Genomic DNA, 26,572 nt, shown 5'->3' with positions numbered 1-26,572 from the left:
AGCTAAATCCCCAGAACTTACTCATCTTATAACTGAATGTCTGTATCCTTTGATCAAGAATCCCTTTGCCCTTTTTCCTTTTTTTGACTTTGTTGAAAGCAAAATAACAGTCCCACCTCCTCTCACTTAAAACGGGAAGGTTTACACCCATTACCCCGGAGTAAGAGGGAGTCCTTCACTTTCCTGAAGTGTAGAACTGTCCTTCTGCTGAGATGGGGTCCTGTGTCCTCAGCGGGACAGTGGTATCTGCAAGACCTGGCTCCTGCTGCAGCAGCTGCCTGGTGGTAGCATATGGCCCAGCGCTGGGTCCCAGGAATGCCACTAGGCATGCTCCGGGGGCAGTGGACTTCTCATCCTTACCACTCCCGTGGCTTCCGCATTGGGTCCGATGCGTAGATTCCACACAACTGGAGGGTGGAGTCTTAAGGGGACCTGCTGGTCCCTCCACACACAGGATGTGCCTGCTCCTCACTGGTCAGGAGCTAGGAAGGTGGAGAGGCCGGAAGTGAGGAGGCCTGCTGAGCTGTTGCTGCTGCTGCTGCTGGGCGTGTTTGCCATGGGAGCCCACACACTCCTTGGCATCTCTTGATTGTGGGCCAGAGTCACCACCCTCCTTTCAGAACTGGGGTAGCTGTACTCTCCCTGACTGGTCGCTTGTCATGGCACATCATGTCACAAAGGTGAAACAGTAGTAGGGAACAGAGCTCCACAGGTCACGTCTCAGTTCCACACGGCCTGTTACAGCTGCTGTCTCCTGAGTTGGCGCCGAGCTCACTGTGGGAAAACCCAGCCAGGGAAAGCATCCCCAGCATGGACGAAGACGTGGGGAATGCTAAGCGTCTGCATAATTACAGTCCACTGAATCTAACTCACACAGAAATTGCTACCTTTAGAAGGTAAAAATGCAACCACAATTCTGCTGTGTATTTTGTGACTGGACTTTGTGGGCCCTCACTCTAGGGAAGGCCTAAATTCTGGTCTCAGTAGGACATAATAGGAGGAGGCTGGCGAACCAGGCAACGCCCTCCTCCTGTGCAAGCCCATGCATGTGTGTGTGCATGTGCGTGTGTGCATGTACGTGTGCGTGTATGCATGTATGTGTGCGTATGTGGTGATTAATCGATAGAGATTTCTTAACCCACAGAACCAGAGCAACAGAGAGAGAGGTCACAGGACTACTTGGACCGGCTTTTCAGACTCCCCACACATCCAATCCTGTTTCAAGGAAAGCTCAGGGCTAAGCTTTCATTTATGAAAATTGCAGTGTGGAAAAGACAACATTGTGGAACATCCTTTGATATTTGGGAAATTGCAGCTTCCCGCCTTGAGTGCACCGCAGTCTTCCCTGAGGCTGCTTGCTAGCTTTTCGTCTGTCTTGGAGGCCAACCAAGTGCAGGGCAGCCGTGTCCACACAGACAGAAACAGCCTGGCCCAGGGTTGGTCCTGGCTTTGCACCTTGGTGCACAAGGCTAGAGCTGTCACCAGAAGAGATAGTAATTACTGGCTCTTTGTGAATAAAATATCTTTCTTTTCACATGTATATATTACATTTATATGTTTCTAATGATGAAATTAAAATCAGTAAATCTTTTATGTGTCAATATCATTGCTCTAAGTAGAAACCATTGAATCAAATTATATTCAAAAGCACAATCAACTCATTCTCTGATTGTTTCCTATTTCTCTAAGTACTGTCCATTGCGAACTATTAGATGTGATATCTCTAGAAATCACAGATAGATCACAAATAGATCACAAATAGAAATTGCAGATAGGTCTCTTTTTGAAGGATTTAGTATCTGCTGTGCATTATGCTATGTGATAGACTCTAATGATCAGCAGGATAGGCTCCTGCCCCTGGCGAGTTGCACGCTCATACAGGACAGACAGGTAGGCAGGGCCTGCTCTTCACCACATGGTTATTACATGGGGGAACTACAAAGTGGCTTTTCTATTTTTCAGGACAATAATCATGGCTAAGATTTCAGTGATTACGTGGTCCACACACACACCCGGAGTATTCCATAATTTTATTTGTTTAAGGCAAAAATATCTATGGGTGACTTTTAAAGGGAAGCCAACCTCAAGCATTATTTCCTTATAGGAAAGCAAAGTTCATCTGCACCCCAGAGCAGAAGTTGCTCCCGGCCTGTTGCAGGGCGGTGCGTCTTCCTGCCATGTCCTGTGTGTGCTCCTCCACACCCCCATCGCCACATGGGGATGCCCTCCCGGTCCCCGTGTCATGCCTTTTCTATGGGACAGGAGCTCCTCATGGGTCAGCTGTACCCCAAACCCCGTGCTTGGCCCTGGGTAGATGCCCAGGATGTGTTCATTGAATGGCATCGAATGAACAAGTGTGGCCAAAGAATGTGTAAACTTTGGGTAAAGAAAAATCTCTTTCAAACACAGCACACAAGGAAAGTGCCTCCTGGTGCTGCTGGTCTTCAGAGGTTATGGGAGCATGGCTCAGCATGGGCCAAGAGCCCGGATGGTCCACCTGGTCACCAGGACATTGGAGGTGTTTGAGCAGAGAAAAGGCGTGGAATTGCATGGAGGGAGGCCTAAACACAGGAGTCCTCTTTAAGTGAATGGCCTGAATGGCAATATTCCTCGTTATTTTAAGGATCCCTAGAAACATCCTTTTTTCTTTGGGACTGGAAGAGAACCAGCTTTGATGCTTTCAAGTTGCTGTTGTGATATCTGCCACATATTGATTGGCCTTATTCTTTTTCTATTAGGACATTTTGTTTTTCAAGGTGGCTCCAAGCTCCCGTGGCGGTGTGCACGCGCACAGCCAGCATTTTGCATTCCTGTCACCACCGCCGAGGTCATATCTGTTAGTGCTGGAGGTTGTTAGGCCATTATCAGCCACTGATGCCTCTCCAGCTGCGAGACTAATTTGGATTCAGGGAGGAAACATGGACTGATCTCCCCTCGGTCATTCACCAGCAGGACTAACAGCGTTTGCGTTCTCTGTGCTGTTAGGGGCTGATGGTACAGAGTAGCTTATTCACCTATCTCAGAACGACAAAACAAGAGGTTAAAGCCCAGTGAGAATCTAATGCCAGCTCCAAGAAAAGTGGCCATGCCTCTGTCATTCAGCAGGCAATCTACAGGGCTAAATTTTAAGTTTATATTAGATATGTATGAAGAGTACATCATGTCATTTATAATTCATCATGAATAGCAAATTATTCTAATGGACTTTCCCATTCTATTCATATTCTACCTTTTCATAGTGGGGGGGGGGAGAAACAAATTCATGATGTGGCTTTTGATTACTTCCTGTATTATGGTAGGGTATTTTCTTTTCCACTCTGCAAACTCTATGGTAATTAAGACACAGAAATTTAGAAAGAAGGAAAGAAGGACAGACATCTGTACCTCTATTCTCCCACAGTACATTTTGAGAATATATTTTTTTCTCTCTACTATTCTTTTATATGGCAGAAACAAAAGGGGAGAAATATGAGATCGAGCATGTGTCAGAAACTGACCAAAGCAGTTCTTGTGATTTCAAACAATACCAAGTCATTCAGCTGCCCTGGGCCAAGTCCTTCCCCTTCCGCATTCTTCACCACGCAAGCCTTTGATGCACAGAGCTCGCTTTGAAATCAAAGACCTCTAAGAAGGGGACTCAGAGCAGAAAGACGGGGGGAGGGGGTGGCGAGGTAGAGAGCAGACCCTGGTCTCCTGGGTCTCGGCCTCAATGTGGGAACGATGGCCCTAATGAGTGGATTCAATGCATCTAAATCGTGGGACACATTTGTAAGCATCAGCAAATGTCCAATATTGCCCTCAGGAAAGAAGGAACTCAGAATTTAGACCCTGGTCTAGTCCCAGGAGTTGAGTTTATAGAATTTACAATAGAAGAGGTAATTTCGAAATTCAGACCTCTGGCACCAAGACAGACTTTTCCATTAGTAAACATAACTATCTCCCTGGAAGAATTATATAGGGAGCATTTTAGCCTAGGATTCCTAGACCCTTCAAACTTAGGCTTGTTAGAATAAGCAAAAGCCACCCTTGAAGAATGTTTGGGCATTAAGAGCCTTGCTGACCTCTCCCTAGGTAGCAGGAGAGATAACGCCCAAAGTTGATGCCATCTGAGAGTTTGACCAATCAGCATCGGACCCCCAGCCCAGGTCATCTTCAGCTGTTCCAGATGACAGTGTCTTTCTTTTATTGACCATCAAAATTTGTCTCTTCTCACATCAAGTCCTGATTATTTTAACTTAGCTTTGCTTCCTGCAGGTACATTTACTTTTCAGCTTGAAAAGAAAATGATTCTTGCTTCATAGGTTTTTGGTCTCAGTAAATTTACACCAGGGTCCTGAAGACTTAAAAAAAAAAACAGTTTGCTGGTTGACTGATGATTGATCCATTCACCAAGTATTGATTATTTTGTATTGATCATTTGATTGCGAACCTTGCCACTGTACTGTGTTGAGGTCTGTCCCCAGGTTAGCTAAAAACCTCGCCCGAACTTATTTCTGTCGTTTTCCTTGCTGATAGGGCGTGTGCTTTTTTGACGTTTCTTAGCAAACTAATTGATATGGTTTGAATCTGTGTTCCCACCCAAATCTCATGTTGACATGTAACCCCAATGCTAGAGGTGGGGCCTAGTGGGATTTGATTGGATCACGGGGGTTGTTTCTGATGGTTTAGCACTATCCCCTTAGTGCTGCTCTCATGATAGAGTTCCCACAAGATCTGGTTGTTTAACAGTGTGTGGCACCTCCCCTTGCTCACTCTCGCTCCTACTCTGGCCACGTGAGATGCACCTGCCCCCCCCCTTTGCCTTCCATCATGACTGCAAGTTTCCTGAGGCCTCCCCAGAAGCTGAGCAGAAGCGAGCATCATGTTTCCTGCAAGATAATTTACAAAGAAAAGAGGTTTAATTGGCTCACAGACTACAGAACCCTGAGGCAATCATACCTCTTTTCTTTGTAAATTACCCAGTCTCAGGTATTTCTTTATAGCAATGCAAGAACAAACGAACACACTGATTATATAATTGGCATCAATCCTTTCACCTGTGATGTACATAGACCTTAAAATGGACTGATCCTTTGGAAAGTGAGAAATTACTATTGCTTGTTCTCATGGGGCATTTTGGGTTTCTGTATCTTGCTCCTTTTATCTTTTCTCTGTTCACTCCTCATTGCTCTTCTCCTCTGGGTCATGTCCCTTGCTTCTCTGGTGATTAACAAGCCCCTTCCACCTTGCCAGTCCCCACCCTCTTCTTCACTCTGTGTCTGTGGATTTAGTGAGTGCTGTGGTCAACTGAGCAGAACTTATCTTTCCTTGACCCCTATTTTAAAATAATGTTTGCCTTTTGGATAAATGATGCCCAAGATCCAGCAGTGTTTCTGCAAGACATGGCTCACCTAGAGGGGCCTCCTGCATTTGGGCAGGGGTGAAGGCTGCAGGCAGGCTGGGGGTTTACTCTCATCCACCAGAGGCAAGCTGCCAGGGCTGTTCACACCAGAAACCCTTAAAGCTACACTCAACTTTGTTTTCAACATGAATGATTCCACTCCGTTTCTGTTTTTTAAGAAGTATTTTTCTCTCTTCAGGACTTTTCAAACATTATATCTAAATACAATGTATACAGTTATTCAATTATACAATAATAATGGAAATGTGGATTGGACAAAACAAAACAAACAAACAAAAAACAAATCCCACACAGCAGGCCTGAGTAGGGAGTGGGCTGTGTTGGTCCTGATTTTGCCCTGAGTTAATCCCTCAATTTGAGGCACAGCATCCCCTTCCCCTGGGCCACTTCTCACCTAGAAGTGATGATTCCTGCTCAGTATCTCTCAGCAATGTTATGGGGATAAAACTCAGTTGTTACCCTGTGAGTTTTCTGACCCCCAAAGTAGAAGACAGATGCTGGTATTACTGGGGACACCGGGGCAGGGGGGCGGGTGTGCAGCTCTGCTTCCTGCCTCATGGAGAGACACTTGTCCCATGCCTGGGCCCTCCTGTCCTCAGCATCTTCCAGCATGGCAGAGTTGCCAGGTGCTCCATCTGCACCTCCCAGTGCTGGCCTGTGTGGGGGGCTGGAAAGAGAGGGCATTGGCTTTCACTGATGAGGAGGAGGATGGGTCTGAGTTTGCTGTGCCCTGGCTGGGGTGTGCATCTGGACTCCAGGTGACCAGTACATTTTCCAGTGATCAGCCTTCCACCTATTCCTGGAAGCCATTTCTTATTCCCCACTGTGTAGAAAGGCAAACATTTATTTTCTTTATTTTCACTTTGAAGTCCTCACATTTTCTTGTCTTTTTTTTTCTTTTTTTTTAAGATTGCACACAATTACAAAAGCAGAATCATCTCCAGACACTCTTGGGTTTACCATATCATTAGTTTGCTTCTTTACTGATCGTAAATATTAAAAGTCAAAGTGACAAGGCAGAAAAATAAGTTTAGATTTAAGCTTCTCCAAACCTGCCCCTAGCTGTGGGCTGTTCTCATCTCTATATTTCTCCCTAAGCTCCTTCTCTGGGCTGGTCTTCGTTTTTGCTCAGTAGCCAGGGTCCCAACTTTAGATTTATTATGCAGATAAAAATCACAGCGAGCGCATTACTAACATGAAAAAGGGCTTGTTTATTGATTTGCTGCAACGCAACCTGCTCATGGAAACTCAAGGCCACACCCCACCGCAACTCCCCAGCCAGAAGTCCCATGGAAACTTGCCTCAGGTTTTTACAAAAATCAGTGGGAAAAAAAAAAAAAAAAACCTTTAGTAAGGAGATAAATACCCAGGCAAACACATTATACATAGATGTCTGCAACAACTCAAATTACTTTCCTTTCCTATTGAATACTACAATTTTATTTGCTTTGCATGCCTTATTTTTTCTTGCATTTTAATGGCATTTTTTCTTCTGATTTTGATGTCAAACGGTAACATCCTGCTCTGTGTTATTATAGTGAAATGTGGTTGTTTATCTCTGAAATCAAATTCCCTGCATTGTCTCTTTTTTTCTAAAAAAAAAAGACGGAATTAAATATTTTGTGTTTTTCTTTTTAAATAAAAAACAGAACTATTGGAGGTAACCAAATATTGGAAGAGTTGTCTCCTATCTTTGAATGTTTTATGTAACGTGAAGTCATCTTAGAGTGAAAGGAACTCTGCAGAGGGTGGGAGGTGCTTTTGCCTCCTGCTTAGATGGTGGCTTATGCCTTTAGGTTTGGGCTGAAAAAATGGGTTTGCTGCACGATGATTTTGAATGCGATTTTTTCTGCGCCTGAGCTCTGGGTCTCGTGAGCAGGGCTGAGGGCAGAAGCGCTGACCTGGAGCTCTCCGAGGGGCCAGAGTGGCCACTCTAATGCCAGGCATTTGTTCAGAAAGGTTTGGAAGCTCCAGATTTCCATCACGGCTTTTATCAGTCTCATGTTAAAACAGCATTGATCCCAGCTGAAAAACCTAATCCAAACAATGAAGTTCAATAACAACTCCATTACAGCCAGGCCGCCGATTGGAGGAGGGTAATGCTGACATTAGTGGCACTCAGCTGGACCTGCCAGACATCGACCACACCATGAAATCTCTTGTTAAAGAAAGAAAAATGGTGTTTGCTGTGTAATTGAACAATTTTATTTTCTCTCTTTCTCACCCCTCTGTCTCTGTGTCTCCCCTTCTCCTTCTGCCTCTCCCGCACTCTCTCTCTTTTTCTTTGTGTGGGCACCCATCAAATCAAGACCCCGGATCGATCCCGTATGTCACTGTGTGAGGAGGTTATTTATGTGGGCATCCAATCTCCAGCCGCCGTTGTATCTGAGCAGGGAACAAGGCCAGAGATTTTGTTAACATTGAAAGGAACATCAAAGCAGCCACCTCTTTGCTCCTGAAGAATCATAGTGCTCGCCTCTCATGAAACGAGCACTTTCACAGCCAGTTAGCCTTTAAGTAATAGATATAGTGTGTTCATCCTTGTAAAATAGATAACTACTTTATTATTTTTTCCATCAGCTCGGATTTTGAAGGTTAAATAAACTGAACAAGGATGGATGCCCACAACACACCTCCCTTCCACACGCGCACACACAGGCACACATAAGCTCGTCTATCTGGCATAGAAATGAATGATCCTATTTATGTTAATGCATACACGGCTGTTACACAGGTTTTCCCATGATAAGGCAATAGGTTAATGAAATGCTCATTTCATTTTACCAGTTGTTTTCTCTGTGAAGTTCCGATAAGTAGCAAACCAATGAAGCTTGTAATTACAATCTTACAGAAACCCGGCCAATCTGTATATAAATCTCACCATCCAATTACAAGATGTAATAATTTTGCAGTCAAGCTGGTAATGAGGTCTAATACTCATGCATGCGATAATCCCCCCTGGATGCTGACTCTATCAGATGTTAGCTTTGTAATTATATGAGCAAAAAATCATTATTTCATGTTCAAGTAGAAAATGAGGTTGGTGGGAAGTTAATTTTCTCTATGCTCTGTGAAGCGTAGACAAGAATTTAATGATTTAATTACAGTTGTTAGCCCTTTTTTGCGAGAGGCTTAAATTGAGCTAAGCATTTTTCATAGCCTGACATCAAGAGTCGAGAAACATCAAGGATTTTGACAGCATACAAAATGACAAGCAGCCCGCAGGCCCTGGAATTTTGAAGAGAGAATCTCCTTGGCATTTTTAACAGCTTCAGAAAATGGTTATATCCGCATTGCCAAGGTAACCACAGCCCAGGGACACAAACCTGCTAGATAAAAGCAACATCAACAAATATTAACCGCTTAGTCTTTCTCCACCGGCTGCTAATCCAGTGTGTGTGAATTTGTCATATCAGATTACTATGACAGTCATGGTGAGAACGAGGGGGAAGCATCTTTCTGCCGAGAAAGGACAATGTAGTTTTCTCTCCCCCCCACATCCGTTTTTGAATTTCAAAACAGGCCATGAGTGGTGTCTGTAGCTCTCTGATTTCCATATATCCTTTATGGAAAAGACACAGTAAATAAACTCCTCTGAGTAATCCTTAAAAGGCTTCAGTTTGCTGCCCTTTTTTTTTTTTTTGAAAACTGCTTTAAGCTATTTAATTCTACTTCAGAAATACTATCTCCTTGTTTATTCAGTGGCTGTGCGTCTGGAGTGGAGTTTGAACTGCTTAACGTGGGCGGGTAAGACTGCTCATTACGGTTTTTTGGGCTTAGATTTGCTTTCACACAGTGTTTTGGGTTATGAATGTATATGTTGGCTCAGATTGCCACCTAAGAGAGGGGCATTCCTCTCTCTAGCGCGCACGCACACACACAGGCACACACACGCACACACGCACATACCCACTCAAACACACAGCCCCCCCCCCCACATATGCACATGAATTCACACACACACGTACCCATGTGCACGCATGTGAATTCACAGGCATGCAGTGGTCGCCATCTCCAGCCTGGGTTTGAGGATTCTGGTGAGAGCCTCCTGTCTCTTCATTTAAGTATGCATGGCAGCGAGTCCTAATTCCAGCTTCAAATATTTGCTCTAAGCTGTGTGGTGGCCAAATGGCAGGAGGAGATATTTTGCTCAGGCAGGACATACTTCCATAATTGCTTTTCAAATTTCAGATACAGTTACAAGAGTTATTGCTGCGTTGGAGCCCAGTTCATGGAAGCACTATGCATCATTTATGAAAGATTTTCATGCACTATTTGCAGAAAAAGTGACAAACACCTTTTCCGTTCAAGCAAAATATCCAATTTGGTAACTCACGAAGCCCATTCCCGCAAGCACGAGGAGAAAGTCTATTCTTATGCACAGGAGGGGTCTGAATACATGAAGGGAGGGCAGGGAGTGGACATGAAAGGGACATGTGACACTTGTGTCTCGGGTAGCGGGGAGAGCAAGACGTTTCAGGCAGCATCAAGTTTTCACAAATGTAGAGGCTCATAAAACAGTGTAACTGCATGACTTACTCCTGGCACATTCATAGCACAGGCATTTAAAAAGTCAACTACCAGCAGTGTCTTTTGACTTGGAGGAAAATCCATCCTTCACAAGTGGAGAAAGACAGGCGCCCAGAGCTCTGTGGTGGGAGGGTCTTCTGCCGTGAATGACGCCGCTGGAAAGCACTTATACCAGGCCCTCTCGCCTTTGCTCCTTCCTCTTCATCCCTCTTTATAACAAAGGTGGTCCTGCTTTCTCTGGCCATAGGGGTGTTAGCAGGGCTGCTGTGTGCAGGCAGGCTCTGGGGCCTTGCTGGTGACTCCAACCCATGCCGGTTGTATTATTCACTACGCTACTCACCTTCTCTCCACCCCCTCCCTTCCTGTCCTTTCCCCTGCTGTTTGTCTGCAGGAAGGCGCCTCTCCTTCACCGCTCCCATCATCCCCCATCCTGCTGCCAGCCCTGAGCTCGTGCTCTTCCCCCTGAGCTGAGAGGTTTCGCCTTGACCTCCTGCCCTGACATCCACCTTTCTTGTCTCCCCTGACACTCAGGAGCTTCGTGCCTCCTCCTGCCTGGTCTCCCGGGGCTCACGGCACAGGCTTGCCAAGCCCGTCCTTCGGGGCCTATTCCCTTGCAATTGTTGCAGCGAGTGTGAGTCGAAGCCAGCCAATGGCACTGCCACTGGTGGAGGACACGAACCACAGTCGTGATTCTCCCAGCCACACCCATTACTGAAATTCTCCCTGGATGTTGGTTTACCAATGGCAGAGTAGAAGCTTACTATCACACAGTGTATTATCACACAAATTTAGGAATTGCATGCATCTATTTCTTCTCTTGAAAATACTGACTGTGCCCAATGAACCCCCAATATAATAATTCCTGTCATTCTAGAATTATCTCATTGTTCTCCCAATGCAGCATTATAAAGGATCCACTTAGCATGTAGGTGTGAATGGAAATAGGCCATGGCCCTGTGAGATCAGGGCTGGGTAACGTGCTGGTTTGTTTTATTATTTACAGCATAGACACTGACTGCACGTGCGATATCTAGAAATAGAGACCCTACAGCAAGTCATAGGATGCAAATATTAAAATACAGTATTCTAATATTATCACCATACATTGCCTTATACTGTTTGTTAGTTATCTCCACACATCTGAGTCTTCCTTTCCAATTTTCCTGACTATTCTCGTAAGGAGGCTGTAATATGCTCTTATAAGAAGGACACTTTCTTGTTAGGAAGATACAGGACCACGTACAAAAGAGTTCATAACAGTGACAGCTGGTAGAGCAGTTGGCCAGCTGGACAGTCTTAAGGAAACGACTTACTATTTGTGGTGGTCTTAGCTTTGTCATCTGCAACATGGAGGTGCTGATTTAAAACTTCCTCTTTGTAGCAGCCCTCAGGATGTAGTAAGGGCTGAGGAAAGATAGCTATGGCCAGTAGGCTTATATTTTCCATAGTACAGTTTTTTTGCACAGCGTAAGAGGTAATGCATAGCCATTGATTGGCTACTTTCAAAGGTGGGATGGTGGTCTTTCATTCTATAGTCCTTATTATTTTTTGATTCTAGTGGACATTTAGATAATGCATGTAGACACACAGGTGACTATGGCCACTACTAATTCTCATACTAGTAGTGGTTGGTGAGTGCCTTGGACTGCACTCGGTTTGTTAAGAATATTCTTGGACCTAAGGCTGGCTTGGATATAACACTGCCTCCAGTGGTGAGATGGAGGAGGACAGTGGACACGTCCCCACACCTACACTGCTGAAGATCTGAGCCAAGCACAAACTTCTGCTTTACCTTCTGCAGGTCAGTTCCTTGTGAGACAGGTGGTTTGACTCCCAGCTCTGACAGGGAGATAAGTTTCTAAATTGGGGCAAGCTACTTAATCTTCCCGTCCCTCAATTTCTTTATCCTCAAAATGGTATGAGTGCTTATTCTGTATGGTGTTGTGAGGATTAAGTAAGTGAACTCAAAAGCCTAGTAATGTTTTACCAGCATATCGTAGATGCTAGATAAATATTGATTATTCTAAGTTCTGTTGATAATGTAGTTGTTAATAATTAGGTCTTTCAATGTCTGTCCAAAAAAAATATATGTTAGCATGCACATGGAGGGACACAGGATAGGGGGACCAAATAGTAGGTGAAGCTTGGAGTCCCATTCCATCAACCAGTCAGCACCAGGGGTGCTGCTTATGAGAGGACAGCAAAGACACGATGTGGGGCAGACTGGGGGTCTCAGAGCTTCACTGTGGGGAAAAGTGGGAATGGCTGCAAGATGTCAGCCCCAGGAAGAAAGCCAAGTTGAGGCCCAAAATGTGTTTAGTTAGCTTCATATAAATGAAGCTTAAACTTAGAAAACATGTCCTTTTTTTTTTTTTTTTTTTTTTTTTTTTTTTTTTTTTTTTTTTTTTTTTTTTTTTTTTTTGCGCAATTGTTTCCTCTGTGATCTGACATTAAGTGTTAAAAGTACCATGGACCACCCTACTCTGGCACAACTATAAGCCATCTAGTAGGAGAAGCCTCTTAGGAAGAAGGTTTGTTTTGACACTGTTTGAAGGGAGATCTGACTAGTTCTGAGTAAACATCAAGCCTTTTCTGTTGCTAAAGCTGAGTTTCAAAACCATTTGACAGCTGAGGACAGCATGTATTTTCAACTTAGAACTTGGAAATCACTTTATTATAATTAGGTGTTTTGGGTGCTGTGACAGCGCCAATTGCAGTGTTTCTGTGTTTAAGACAGGACCTGCTCCAGGGATAATCGTCATAACTCCTTCAGCAGGCACACTGCCTTTGGTGTCAAAATATGTTTTTAGGAACACTTAATTTATATAATATTGACAAATAGGCTATAACCGTCACTGAGAACTGTGTGTTTTAAATTAACATGCCATATAAACAGCTTACTATACAATATTTGAACAAGTTCAAATGTGAGTACTTATTGGTCACATTTTATGTGTGATACACACTTTCAGTAAAATCAGGTATTCCCCATAGAAAAATAATGATGGAATTTTTATAGTTTTAACTACTTACTAATCACATTGCATATTTCATAACCAGCGAAGAGTTTTATGTTACAGAGAATAAAACATGTGGGACATAAGGGATGTTTTTTCCCCTTTATTCTCAGAAGTTTAACCAATTCTGGGCAGCTTCAAGAGGATCACTCTGTGAACAGTATGCTGTTGTGAAATAAAACACAGCAGTATTTTTTTGATCCTAAAAGTGTAAACATCTTCTATTTTAGAATCCATATCAACATTTCAAAAGCATGTTTTTGAGCAATTCAGGAAGAACTTGTTGAATAAAAGGATAACAGACGAGGCAACAAATTGCCAAAGAAAATTGGATCCAGTTTTGGAAAGAGTCAAGCAAACCTCTAGTTGAATATGTGGGATTAGAAGAATAACATTGGATGTGAAGGGTCTCCAAGAGTTGGTTTTATTGCATCCCTGCCTAGGCCTTCGCCAGGCATATTCCAGAAAATTGGGGCACACATGGTCTTTGAATTGCAATCTGACCGATGGAAACCTGATCCGGGGACTTCTTCCTGGAAAGGTGATATTGGATACACCCCATTCCCACTTCCAAGTCACATGGTTAAAGTAACACCGGGCAGAACCCTCCCTTCACCACATCTCCGTCACCCACTGCAGTTGCTGTATGACCTTTTAAATCAATGACACCCAGTGATCAGGACAACACAAGAATCAGGATTGATTTAAATTTTCTTGAACCTAAGCACACTCCTCTCAACACCTTTTCTCCTTCGGGGTGATATAAATGCTTTTACACATCCATACACACATACGTAAAATATCCACAACTGAGTTTTTCCTCGTTGGTATTGAACTTCCTTACAGCTTTCTGTAAAATAATTTGTAAATGTCATACTTTTCAGTTAACCCTTATTTTTACGTTTGATTATAAAATAATCTCTTTATAGTTTCAACATATGGGGATAAGTGATTTTGGGAGTGAACATTAAAGGTTTGCTGAGAATGCATCAGCAGCTGTTTCTTGACCCCAGTGCTGTTCTACCTTCTTCCCTTCCCTATGTGTCTTGCGGGTGAAAACATGTAGCTTCAGGTATCTATCTGGCATTGTTTGTATTTTCCTTTGGAATAGAGTAAAATTGTTTTGCTTTCACACCTATACTATCTGCCTCATGTCTAGTCTCTCAAACTCTTAATTAGAATATTGACAAACAAAATCTGATTTACAAAATCAGAGATTTACAAAGTCTGATTAATGTTGAGGTTTGGGTACATCGAGGAAAGGCGAGTAGCCCATTCTAATATTCAGTGGGGACATGACAACCGTGGAAACCGTCTCTGCAATGCAGCCCAACAGACACCAGCAAACCTGCTCTTGAAAGCCGGGGTCACTATTTTGGAATCTATCCTCCACTTGTTTACTTTTCAGAGCAATGCTAAAAGCCTTGAGTTTGCAAGGCTCAATGCTCTCCCTGGAAATGCTAGGGCCAGGGTGCCTAAAACAAGGTCGTGTAGAGAGCAGAGTGTAAGCTCTGCCGGCTTGTCTCACATCATGTTTAAGGCTAACAGAAGCCAGAAATGTACACAATTAAACTTGCCGGAGCAGGGAAACATAATTAAAGGACACTCCTTGAGAACCATGAGTTAAAGATCACCTTTTAATTGCTTTCCTTCTGGGAGAGATGAGAATGAATGAGGTTGTCACCATTTTCCGGTCAATCTTGTATGTTCCCTTTTCATAATTGCTGTAGGAAGGTTCCAGGTTGAATTCAGGAGGCTGCTTCCTTGTCCCTTCGTTAGGAGGAGCCCGTCATTCTCTTGTCCTTCTGCCTGAGTTTGCAATCCCTGTGACCAACGCCTTCTTACCCCGGCCTTGTCACACTCTCTGTGTCTTACCCGCATCTGGAAATTTACCTACAGGAGAGCCAGTCAGTCAAAATCAACAGTGACCCCATGCCTTCTTCTGTAGTTTTCTCCTTTGGTCTTGTCTGTGTTCATTCCAGTTTTAGAGTAGCATTTGTGATAGCAAGGGATGGGGCCCACCCAGCACTGGTATCGTGGTGAAGTCTCATGCACACGGATTGCTTTATGTGAGCAGTTGATTTGAATAAAATTTGTCTAATTCTCAAAGTCTGTGTACTAGTCTAGTGGTCAGCAAACTGTAGCCCACAGGTTACACTTGGCCTACTACTTGCTTTTTTAAGGCCCTGGAGCTAATAATCACTTGTATAAATTTTTTAATGGTTGAACAACAACAAAAAAAAACAAATATATTTTTTGCCATGTAAAAATTCTAGAGAATTCAGTTTTCAGTGTCCATGAATAAAGTTTTATTAAACTCAACAATGCACATTGGCTTAGGTATTATCTGAGGCTGTGTTGCAGCAGAAATGCAGAGCTGAGTAGCTGCCACAGAGACAGAAGGGGCTCGGATGCCTGAAATGTTTACTGCATGATCCTCTGCAGAAGACACTTGCCAACTCCTGGTTCAGTAGAGCTGGGATCATGAATTTAAACATTTGCAAAGGCCAGTGGAGTCCAGTACAGCATGGTGAGCCCACAGTGGCGCGGAGAGCCCACCCAGCTCAGCCTGCTTCAGCCGATGGCAATCCCGTGGGAAGCTTGGTGTAGCTGGACTCACATGTTTTCAAGAAAAGACAGTGACCATCATTTTTGTGTGATTTTTTAAAATTTAAACACTGTGTAGGGGACACCAGATATATCTGCCCTCCCTGTGTGTGTGTGGGTTACCAAATAGCACTCTGCCCCACTCCAGCTGCCCGCAGGACTGGGGCCATGGGTGAGGCTCCTGCTCAGGCTGGCTGGCAATCTTCAGTGCTAAGAAAGCAAAAATGAAGGCTGTAACTACGGAATGAGAATACAGATCTTGCCTTAGCCCCTCCACATGTGCAGTGCATTTTTGCAGTTTTCACTGAAGAAGTTCCACCTGGTGTTTTCAAACTGTTAATGAATTAGAGTTAGTTCTCAAGGATACCACCGATACAAGTATGTTATTAGTACAATTATCAAGTCTGCTCATGTCTAAACCATTTAAATAAAGATTATTCTTGTCATAAAGAGCACCATCACTTTCAGTTGGACATCATAGAATGTTGAATCCAAGAGAGGAATTACAATATCAATATGGTCCTATATTTATATACACATTTAGTTGACACTCAAATAGTTGATTGAATAGATGAGTATTGAATGAAAATATGTGGACATATAGGTACACACATATATAAACTTTTCATATATATTTGTATGTGTATATTTGTCATACACTCACACCTGCCCACCCCAACACAAATACATACACACACACACACACACACACACACACACATAACTCAAAAGAGGGAAAGAGAGAGAGAGAACGAACACAGGCCATCATCACATGAAATGTTTGGAGCGCAGCTCACACTGGATGTTTGTAGAGAGATTTCAGTCCACGCCACCACCCCACAGGTGACCCTGCTATGCCAGTGCAGTGCCCAGCCTGTGCTGGGAATGGCTGACTTCCCACTACAAGGATTCTGTTACAGAAACATATCAGTAAAATGGGCAGGCTACCCTGAGACCCTCCCCTGGCCATGCCAGCCCCATGTTCCCAGCTTCTCTGTGGGGATTGGACCACAGTGGGAACTGGAAAAACGTCACCTATCAGAATCATTTCCCAGTGGCTGTGGAAGGGAGGCTCCAGGACTTGCTCTCCTTTCCAACGCGTTTCTGAGTGGCTGTGGCATTATTCAGAACAGGGACAATGGGGCCAGGCAGAAGGGCATTCTGAGAGGGCAGCTGGGTGGGCTTCGCGGTGATGCGTCTGGCCTGAGTGATGATAGCACATCCAAGTGGAAGTAAGGTGAGCAAGTAGGAAGGTGCGTGTGAGCACCTGCTCAATCCCTACCCTTCAGTCCCGGCCCACTGGGAAGAGGCAGCCGGCTGAGCGCGGGCAGGTGAGGAAAGTAGGCTGAAGCCAGGGTGGGGTGAAGTGCCTGGGGTCAGAGAAGAAGAAGGGTGGGGGCTGGCAGGGGACTCTGCATTTAAGGCAGGATCAGGGAGGAGTTTCTGGCAAAGGTCTTGTGAGAAAGCAGGGCACAACAGTGCCATAGCAACAATGAGGGGGTGGCCACCAGAAGGCATTGGCAACGTCTGTTGGGTCACAGCTTGGGTGGGGGCTGAGGGATGAGAGAGGGGCTCTTGCTGGGCCTGCGGAGGAGAGCAGGTGCATTTTCAAGAGAGGAGATACCCATAAAAAATTCAGGAAAAAGGTATATATATGTGTATATATATATATATATTTTTTTTTTTTCCCCCCCAGAAGTTTGGCCATGAAGGAAAGAAAAAAATGCAGTGTGGAGTTCCACTTGGTGTGTGTGTGAGTTTGTGAGCACGTTCGTGAGCAGATCCACACACTTGTTTAGTGCTTAGTTGATGAAGAAGTGGGGAAGGCTGAGGTCCCACACATTTGGGTGCACGACACCCATGTGTTTCCCAGAGACAGGAGACTGCCATGTATCAGAAGGCAGACGGCAGAGCAGTCCAAGAAGAACGCGGGGCCGAAGCCATCCCTCCAGCCCCACTATGTCCAGAGCAAGGCCTAGCTCACCTGGGAGAGCTCAGAACACTCTGGTCCACAGACCTCCCATCAGTCAGACACATGTTAGAACACTGCCATTCAAAGCTCTTACGCTTCTCTGGGCCTTAGATCGTGTTGTTCAAAATCCGTGTCCAGTACCCATGTTCATTGATTGAACACACAGAATGGTTTCCAGGTTGAAATGGCTGTTGGATGGTTCCATGGCAATACAAACTGGCAACTGAGTGGAGCACAGAGTCATTCTTCCCATCCATGCTGGGGACTTTCACCACAGCTTTCCCGGCCTCTGTCCCTAAGGGGTGGCTTGAGTTAGAAACCTCGTGTCACGCAGCCTGGGATTGTGGTCTTTCTCACTCTGCCCTGTCTTGTAAACCTCACATTTATGTGCATGTGGTGTGTTTGTGTGTGTGCAACTGATGTTAACTTTGCCATCGTTTCAAGTTTTTATTTGAAGATGGGGGCACGTACAGCAGATACTTCCGTATTTACTGACAGGGTCCTTGTGTGTTTTACTGAGGGCTGCCTCTCAAGCAGGAGTTATTTTATTTGACAGTTGGTTCTGAGATTTCATCTTGATTTTTCTGAATCAACCCATACCATATTACGCTTAACATGAAGTCAGAGTACCCCCAAACCAAACATATCAGTGTTTTAATGTTTTCAGTAATCTCTGAGTAGCTTAAGTTTTCCTGTCTCAAGAAGAATGGGCAACCTTATTTAAAGGCATCGACACTGATCCACAATGTGTAGGAGAAGTCACTGTGTGCCTATCTGCTCATCACTCTTCTTCCTATCTGTGTATGCCCAAAGCTCCCCTGTGCATTGCTGCATGGTTTCCCAAGCTTACAACACTGCTTCTAGGAGCTGCAGCCCAAAGGAATCACCTTATCAGTCACTCACCAGGCGCTGGCCCAGTACCGAGGATCCTTTCCCCACTCTCTGCTGACTGCCACATGGCTGGTTCCCTCTCCCAGCCTCTGCCTAGGGTTTGCTCTGAGTTCTGGTGGAATGTATCCTCTACTTACCTTCTAGAATTGCTCTTGGGTCCTGCTTTTTAAAAATAAATTTTGGGCCGGGCGCGGTGGCTCACGCCTGTAATCCCAGCACTTTGGGAGGCCGAGGCGGGTGGATCATGAGGTCAAGAGATCGAGACCATCCTGGCTAACAAGGTGAAACCCCGTCTCTACTAAAAATACAAAAAATTAGCCGGGCGCGGTGGCGGGCGCCTGTAGTCCCAGCTACTCGGGAGGCTGAGGCAGGAGAATGGCGTGAACCCGGGAAGCGGAGCTTGCAGTGAGCCGAGATTGCGCCACTGCACTCCGCAGTCCGGCCTGGGCGACAGAGCGAGACTCCGTCTCAAAAAAAAAAAAAAATAAAAAAAAAAAAAAATAAATTTTGTGAAAGTATAATTTTGCAAACAATACAATACACACATATTAAGTGTACATTTTGATGAGTCTGAAAAATGTGTACACTGCTGAAACTACTCCACTTCATGATATAGAAAATTCTCGTCATCGCAGAGGGTTTCCTGGGGCCCCTTTCCAGTCAATCCCCATCCTTCAGCCCCAGCGCAAAGCAGCCACTGATTGACCTTCTGTCACTACAGATCAGTTTTGCCTTCCTTGTGCTTTGTGTAAATGGGATTACACTTTTGTGTCTGACTTCCTTTGTGCAAAATAGTGCATTTACTATTCATCCATATTGTTGTGTGTCAGTAATTCACTCTTTTCACATGCTGAGTGGTATTACATTATGTGGATGTGCAAGAAGGTCTATTCACCTGTTGATGGATATTTGGTTTGGCTCCAACTTCCGGCAGTTATAATCAAAGTTACCAGGAGCATTCGTGCATAAGACTTTGGGTAAATACCTAGGAGCAGAATTGCATGAACATGTGGTAAGAGAGTGTTTACCTTTATAAGAAATTACCAAACTGTTTTCCTAAGTGGCTGTACCATTTCACACTTCTACTAGCTAAGTAGTTGCTCCACACTCACTAAAAATAGTGTCAATCTTGTCTAATTTTAGCCGCTCTAATGGGTGTATAGTGGTATCTGACTATGATTTTAATCTGCATTTCCCTAATGACTAATGTTGAGCATCTTTTCAAGTATGTATTGGCTATGCATATGTAGTTTTTGGTAAATTTTCTGTTTAATCTTTAGCCCCCTTCTTTTATTAAAATTGGGTTTTATGTCTCATAATTGAGTTGTAAATGTTTGTACTTATTCTGAATATAAGTAATATATCAAATATACATAGTGTGAAAAATTTTCCCATTTGTGGATTTGACTTTTAATTTTCTTATTGATGTATTTCAAAGAGCAGAAATTTTAATGTTCATGAATTTTATAATTTTTTACTTTATAAATTTAAGCAAAAACAGTTTAGATTTTAAAAACAGTTTAGATTTACATAAAAGTTGCAAAGGGAGTATAGAGAGTTCTCACATATCCCCCACCTATCTTTTCTCCTATTATTAGCATATTACATTACCATGGTACATTAGTCAAAACTAATGAATGAATATTGATACATTATTATTAATTAAAGTTGCTACTTTATGTAGTTTTCCCCGAATGCGAATGTCCTTTTTCTGTTCCAGAGTCCCAACCAGGGAACCACTTTGTGTTTTATGTTCATCTCCTTTGGCATCTCTTAGATGTGACAGTTTCCCAAACTTTTCTGGTTTTAATGTCTTTTATAGATTTGAGAATTACTGGTCAGGTATTTTGTAGATGTCCTTCACCTGGTATTTGTCTGATGTTTTACTTATGACTAGCCTGAATTTATAAGTTTTAGGGAAGAAGACCTCATTTTATTATTTAGTTTTCTTTTAGGTTTTGTGCTTTTGGTGTCCTAAAAAATTTTGACTGTGATAAAGTAAAATAAATTTTTCTTCTTGTATATTTTTGTCTAGAAAATTTATATTTTGGCTTTTACACTTGGGGTTATGAAGCATTCTGAAATAATTTTGTATATGGTGTCAATAAAGGGTCATAGTCTTTTTTATGTGTGATATGGATATTTATTTTTACAACAAAACTTATTTAAAGAATATTCTTTCTCCATTGAATCACCATGGTACCTTTAAAAAATTATTTGACTATATATACAGGAGTCTATTATAAAACTCTCTTCTGTTTCATTAATTTATAAGTCTATTCTTATGCCAATAAGATACTATCTTGACTCTTATAACTTTATAATAAGTCTTGGAGTCAAATAAGATAAATACTTCCACATTGTTCTGCTTTTATAAAAATTATTTTGGCTATGCTAGGTCCTTGAATTTCCACATTCATTTTATTTTTATTTTTTATTTTTTATGCCTATTATTTTATTTTGAGTTCTGGGATACATGTTCAGGATGTACAGGTTTGTTACATAGGTAAATGTGTCCCATGGTGGTTTGCTGCACCTATCAACCCATCACCTAGGTATTAAGCCCCACATGCATTAGCTATTTATTCTGATGCTCTTCTTCCCCCTGCCTCCTCACCCCTGACAGGTTCCAGTGTGTGTTGTTCCCTTCCCTGTGTTAATGTGTTCTCATTGTTCAGCTCCCACTTATAACATGTGGTGTTTAGTTTTCTGTTTCTGCATGAGTTTGCTGAGGATAAATGCCTTCGAGCTCCATCCATGTCCCTGCAAGATATGATCGCCTTTGTTTTTATGGCTGTATATTATTCCGTGTACCACATTTTCTTTATCCAGTCGATCATTGATGGGCATTTGGGTTTATTTAATGTCTTTGCTATTGTGAATAGTGCTGCAGTGAACATATGCATGCATGTATCTTTATAAGAGAATGATTTATATTTCTTTGCATATATACCTAGTAATGGGATTGCTGGGTCAAATGGTATTTTTGTTCCTAGGTCTTTGAGGAATTGCTACACTGTCTTCCACAATGGCTAAAGTAATTTACATTCCCACCAACATTGTAAAAGTATTCCTATTTCTCTGCAACATCACCAGCATCTGTTGTTTCTTGTCTTTTTAATAATTGCCATTCTGATTGGCATGAGATGGTATCTCATTGTAGTTTTGATTTGCATTTCTCTAATGATCAGTCATGTTGAACTTTTTTTCATGTTTGTTGGCCATATAAATGTCTGCTTTTTTTTTTTTTTTTTTTTTTTTTTGAGGCGGAGTCTCGCTCTGTCGCCCAGGCCGGACTGCGGACTGCAGTGGCGCAATCTCGGCTCACTGCAAGCTCTGCTTCCCGGGTTCACGCCATTCTCCTGCCTCAGCCTCCCGAGTAGCTGGGACTACAGGCGCCCGCCACCGCGCCCGGCTAATTTTTTGTATTTTTAGTAGAGACGGGGTTTCACCTTGTTAGCCAGGATGGTCTCGATCTCCTGACCTCGTGATCCACCCGCCTCGGCCTCCCAAAGTGCTGGGATTACAGGCGTGAGCCACCGCGCCCGGCATGTCTGCTTTTAAGAAGTGTCTGTTCATGTCATTTGCCCACTTTTTAATGGGGTTGTTTGTTTTTTTCTTGTAAATTTGTTTAAGTTCCTCGTAGATCCTGAATATTAGACCTTTGTCAGATGGATATATTGCAAAAGTTTTCTCCCTTTTCGTAGGTTGTCTGTTCACTCTGATAATAGTTTCTTTTGCTGTGTAGAAGCTCTTTAGTTTAATTCGATCCCATTTGTCAATTTTTGCTTTTGTTGCAATTGCTTTTAATGTCTTCATCATTAAATCTTTGCCCATGCCTACGTCCTGAATGGTACTGCCTAGATTTTTCTTCTAGGCTTTTTATAGTTTTGGGTTTTACATTTAGGTCTTTAATTCACCTTGAGTTAATTTTCTGTACAAGGTGTAAGGAAGGGGTCCAGTTTCAGTTTTCTGTATATGGCTAGCCAGTCTTCCCAGCACCATTTAATAATAGATAGTCCTTTTCCCATTCCATGTTTTTGTCAGGTTTGTCGAAGATCAGATGGTTGTAGACGTATGGTCTTATTTTTGATATCTCTATTCTGTTCCATTGGTTTTATGTATCTATTTTTGTACCAGTACCATGCTGTTTTGGTTACAGTAACCTTGTAGTATGGTGTGAAGTCAGGTAGCGTGATAGCTCCAGCTTTGTTCTTTTTGCTTAGCATTATCTTGGCTATATGGTCTCTTTTTTACTTCCATATGAATTTTAAAGTAGTTTTTTCTCATTCTTTGAAGAATGTCAATGATAGTTTAATGGGAATAGCAATGAATCTATAAATTACTTTGGGCAGTATGGCCATTTTCATAATATTGATTTTTCCTATCCATGAGCATGGAATGTTTTTCCATTTGTTTGTGTCCTCTGCTTTCCTTGAGCAATGGTTTGGTTCTCCTTGAAGAGACCCTTCACTTCCCTTGTTAGCTGTATTCTAGGTATTTTATTCTCTTTGTAGCAGTTGTGAATGGGAGTTCATTCATGATTTGGCTCTCTGCTCGTCTATTGTTGTATAGGAATGCTAGTGATTTTTGCACATGGATTTTGTATCCTGAGACATTGCTGAAGTTGCTTCTCAGCTTAAGAAGCTTTTGGGCTGAGACAATGGGGTTTTCTAGATATAGGATCATGTCATCTGCAAAGAGTGACAGTTTGACTTCTTTTATTGTTTGTTTTTTTGAAGGCGTATCTCTCTATCACCCAGGCTGGAGTGCAGTCATGCGATCTCGGCTCACTGCAACCTCCGCTTCCCAGATTCAAGCGATTCTTCTGCCTCAGCCTCTCGAGTAACTGGAATTACAGGCGTGTGCCACCATGCCTGGCTGATTTTTTTTTTTTTTTTGTATTTTTAGTAGAGACGGGGTTTCACCATGTTGGCCAGGATGGTTTCGATCTCTTGACCTTGTACTTCCTGTCTTTTTATCTGAATACCTTTTGTTTCTTTCTCTTGCTTGATTGCCCTGGCCAGAACTTCCAATACTATGTTGAGTTGAGTAGGAGTGGTGAGAGAGTGCATCCTTGTCTTGTGCCAGTTTTCAAGAGGAATGCTTCCAGCTTTTGCCAATTTAGTATAGCATCACATTCATTTTAAAATCACCTTATCAGTTTCCACAAAAATTTCTGCTGGGAGTTTTCCTGGGATCCCATTGAATCTATAAATCAGTTTTGGAGAAATGTCACATCATAATAAAAAACGCTACTTTACATGATTTTAAGTTTTTTTTTTTCTTTTTTGACAGAGTTTCACTCTTGTCTTCCAGGCTAGAGTGCAATGGGGCAACTGCAACCTCCACCTCCCAGGTTCAAGTGATTCTCCTGCCTCAGCCTCCTTAGTAGCTGGGATTACAGGCACCTGCTACCACGCCCAGCTAATTTTTGGATTTTTAGTAGAGACGGGATTTTGCCAGGTTGGCCAGGCTGGTCTCGAACTCCCAACCTCAGGTATCCGCCTGCCTCGTCCTCCCATAGTGTTGGGATTACAGGCATTAGCCACCACACCTGGCCAATTTTAAGATTTTTAACAAACTTTGGGGGATGCATTTTATGGCCCAGCATATGACTTATCTTTGTGCATGTTCCTTTTAAAATACTTTTTTTCCCTTTTAGTTTTGAAGTGACTTTTGCTAGCTTTAGAATTCTACATGGACTATTTTAGCACTTTAAATATGCTGTTTCATTGTTTCCTGGCCTGAAGAGTTTCTCATAAAAAGTCTGCTATAATTGCTACTTTTTTTTTCTATACCTATTGTGTGTTTTTCCTCTGCCCAATTTTAAGATTTTCTCTTTATCTTAGGCTTTCGTACATTTTGCTATGAGTTGTCTTGCGGTTTTCAATGTGGTTTTCTATATGGTCCATTGATCTTCTTGGAGTGTCTTCTCTGGATACAACTACATACCCTGATATATCAGCGAGGACTGTCCAGTCTGCTCATAGGAAGTTGTGTGACTCCAAAGCCTGGACCTCACAGTTCATTCATCAATCTCTGCCATACTTGTGGACTTTCATCCCACCATGATATTCATGTCATAGTATTCGGCAGTGCTCAAGAGTATCCCAAGAAATAACTGTGTTTTTATTCTGTGTAGCTTGGAACCGCCTTTTCTATATTGTGGTCCAAAATGTTTCTCCGTCTATAAAATTGAGAAAATAATATGTCTCATCTCATTTGTTCCCCTTTTGTCCCCAAGGATCATAGTCCTAATATACCTGTAGTTCAATATCTGAAGAGGATTCTTTTTCATATATTTTTTACAATTTTCTAGTTTTAAATTTGGGCATGTTGGATTTTTCAGGGTGTGCCTAACAAGATTTTTGCTAAAACAAAAGTATCAGTGCTGTTCATTGGATTTGAATATAATACAGGCTCTTATAACATAATATTTGAAGTGTCCAAGATACAATCCAAATCTACTTGACATAAAAGGAGCCAGAAAAATCTCAACTGCAATAGAAAAGACACAGAAAAGATGCCAACATCAAGACAATAGAAATGTTGGCATTACCTGACAAAGACTTTAAAGCAGCTCCAAGAAATAATCATGAACTTTTTGAAACAAATGAGAAAATAGAACATCTGGGCAAATAAATGGAAATTACAAAAAAAGAACTCAGAAATTTTAAAACTGAAAAATGTAATAACAGCAACCTTAAGAAGCCTGACTAGATTAAAACATTAACTATGACTCAGGGACCTATAACAAGGCTTTAATATTTATGTCATCATAGTCCCAGAGAAGAAGAAATTTGGTGTTAAAAAGCATTTCAAGATATAATAGCTGAAAACTTTCTATGTTTAGTGACAGGCATAAATCTACAGATTGAAAAAATTGAGTGACTCTCTAATAGAATTAAACAAAGGAAATCCATGTCAACACATCATCATAATAAAGATGAACACCTGAAACAAACTAAAGTAAGTGCCCAGTTAAAAATCATGTATTACCCATGTGGGAATGATTAGAAAGATATGTGGATTTTTCATCAAAAATGATGGAAGTCAGAAGGAAGAGACAGAATATGACTAAAGTGCTGAAGGGAAACAATTGCCCACCTTAAATTCTATATCTAATGACCACTTTTCTCAGCAATGAAAGCAGAATCAAAATATTCACAGATGAGACAAGGAAGTTTGTTACTAAAAGACTCAATCTAAAAGAATTGCTAAGAAAGTTTTCAGCAGATGGAAAATAATATTTGAATGTACATTTGACCACCAGAATGAAGAAAGAACAGCAGAAATGGTAAATGTTAAGTAAGTGTAATATATTATTTTTCTCTTAAGATCTTTAAAATATATTTTATGCTTGCAAAAATTATAAAGTTTTTCTGGTGGGATTATTAATATATGAAAACAACTATAATATAAAGGCAGAAGTTATAGTCTTTATTGTTGTAAGGCAAAATATTGATTCTAAATAGACAGTGAAAAATTCAGTACATATATTGCAGTCCCCAGAGAAACCCTAAAAAATTACACACACGCACACACACACACATACATACACACACACATATGTGTATGTATATATGTATATATTCATATATATGTGTACATGTATTTACAGAGAGAAAAAGAAAAAAATTGCAATAGATGAACTAAAATGAAATATTAAAATAATGCAGATAACCCAATAAAAGCAAAAAGGCAAAAGCAGACAGGACAAAGAAGAAACAAATAATAAAATGATAGACCTAAATCCAAATGTATTAATAATTACCATAAATATGAAATGATCCTAATATAACAATAAAAATACAAAGTTTATTGCAACTGATATAAAAATAATTTATATGCTATCCATACAAACTCACTTCAAAAATGATAATATAGGCAGATTAATGGAAAAGAATGGAAAAAGGTATATCATGAAAACTCTAAAAGAAAGCTAGAATATCTATATTAAAATCAGAAGAAGTAACTTTAGAGCAAAGAAAATGACTGTGCTAAAGAGGGACATCACATAATGATAAATGAATCAATTATTTAAGATGATGTAACAATATGAAATATGTATGCACCTAACAACATGAAGCAAAACACAGCAGAACTAAAAGAAAAAATAGACAAGTGTGCAATTCTAGTTGGGCCTATTGA

General features: G+C 41.9%; 2 long non-coding RNA genes across 2 annotated transcripts in view, besides 7 other annotated features; both read left to right on the top strand.

Annotated features, from left to right (window-relative positions):
• Positions 1-26,572, top strand: part of LINC01019 (long intergenic non-protein coding RNA 1019) — a 118,943-nt gene that overhangs the window by 14,967 nt on the left and 77,404 nt on the right. The gene's annotated exons all lie outside the window — the stretch shown is intronic.
• Positions 500-1,000: an enhancer, noted in NCBI's record as "H3K4me1 hESC enhancer chr5:3520242-3520742 (GRCh37/hg19 assembly coordinates)". NCBI's record gives its function as "activates a minimal SCP1, AML or CMV promoter by ChIP-STARR-seq in naive H9 embryonic stem cells {active_cell/tissue: H9 hESC(naive)}" and the evidence as "EXISTENCE:reporter gene assay evidence [ECO:0000049][PMID:30033119]".
• Positions 1,745-2,245: an enhancer, noted in NCBI's record as "H3K4me1 hESC enhancer chr5:3518997-3519497 (GRCh37/hg19 assembly coordinates)". NCBI's record gives its function as "activates a minimal SCP1, AML or CMV promoter by ChIP-STARR-seq in naive H9 embryonic stem cells {active_cell/tissue: H9 hESC(naive)}" and the evidence as "EXISTENCE:reporter gene assay evidence [ECO:0000049][PMID:30033119]".
• Positions 7,843-9,264: an enhancer, noted in NCBI's record as "VISTA enhancer hs261". NCBI's record gives its function as "enhancer in: midbrain (mesencephalon)[7/8]" and the evidence as "EXISTENCE:transgenic organism evidence [ECO:0001131][PMID:17130149]".
• Positions 7,843-9,313: a biological region, named in NCBI's record as "VISTA enhancer hs261".
• Positions 8,814-9,313: an enhancer, noted in NCBI's record as "H3K4me1 hESC enhancer chr5:3511929-3512428 (GRCh37/hg19 assembly coordinates)". NCBI's record gives its function as "activates a minimal SCP1, AML or CMV promoter by ChIP-STARR-seq in naive H9 embryonic stem cells {active_cell/tissue: H9 hESC(naive)}" and the evidence as "EXISTENCE:reporter gene assay evidence [ECO:0000049][PMID:30033119]".
• Positions 9,314-9,815: an enhancer, noted in NCBI's record as "H3K4me1 hESC enhancer chr5:3511427-3511928 (GRCh37/hg19 assembly coordinates)". NCBI's record gives its function as "activates a minimal SCP1, AML or CMV promoter by ChIP-STARR-seq in primed H9 embryonic stem cells {active_cell/tissue: H9 hESC(primed)}" and the evidence as "EXISTENCE:reporter gene assay evidence [ECO:0000049][PMID:30033119]".
• Positions 9,886-10,385: an enhancer, noted in NCBI's record as "H3K4me1 hESC enhancer chr5:3510857-3511356 (GRCh37/hg19 assembly coordinates)". NCBI's record gives its function as "activates a minimal SCP1, AML or CMV promoter by ChIP-STARR-seq in primed H9 embryonic stem cells {active_cell/tissue: H9 hESC(primed)}" and the evidence as "EXISTENCE:reporter gene assay evidence [ECO:0000049][PMID:30033119]".
• Positions 17,124-24,756, top strand: LINC01017 (long intergenic non-protein coding RNA 1017). The gene is made up of 3 exons (NR_104618.1): positions 17,124-17,201; positions 23,717-23,777; positions 24,271-24,756. It is a non-coding gene; the product is annotated as a long intergenic non-protein coding RNA 1017 (long non-coding RNA).

This window comes from Homo sapiens, chromosome 5 (genome assembly GCF_000001405.40).
Source record: "Homo sapiens chromosome 5, GRCh38.p14 Primary Assembly".
Classification (NCBI taxonomy): Eukaryota; Metazoa; Chordata; class Mammalia; order Primates; family Hominidae; genus Homo; species Homo sapiens.
This window is presented reverse-complemented; position numbering and strand designations above follow the sequence as displayed.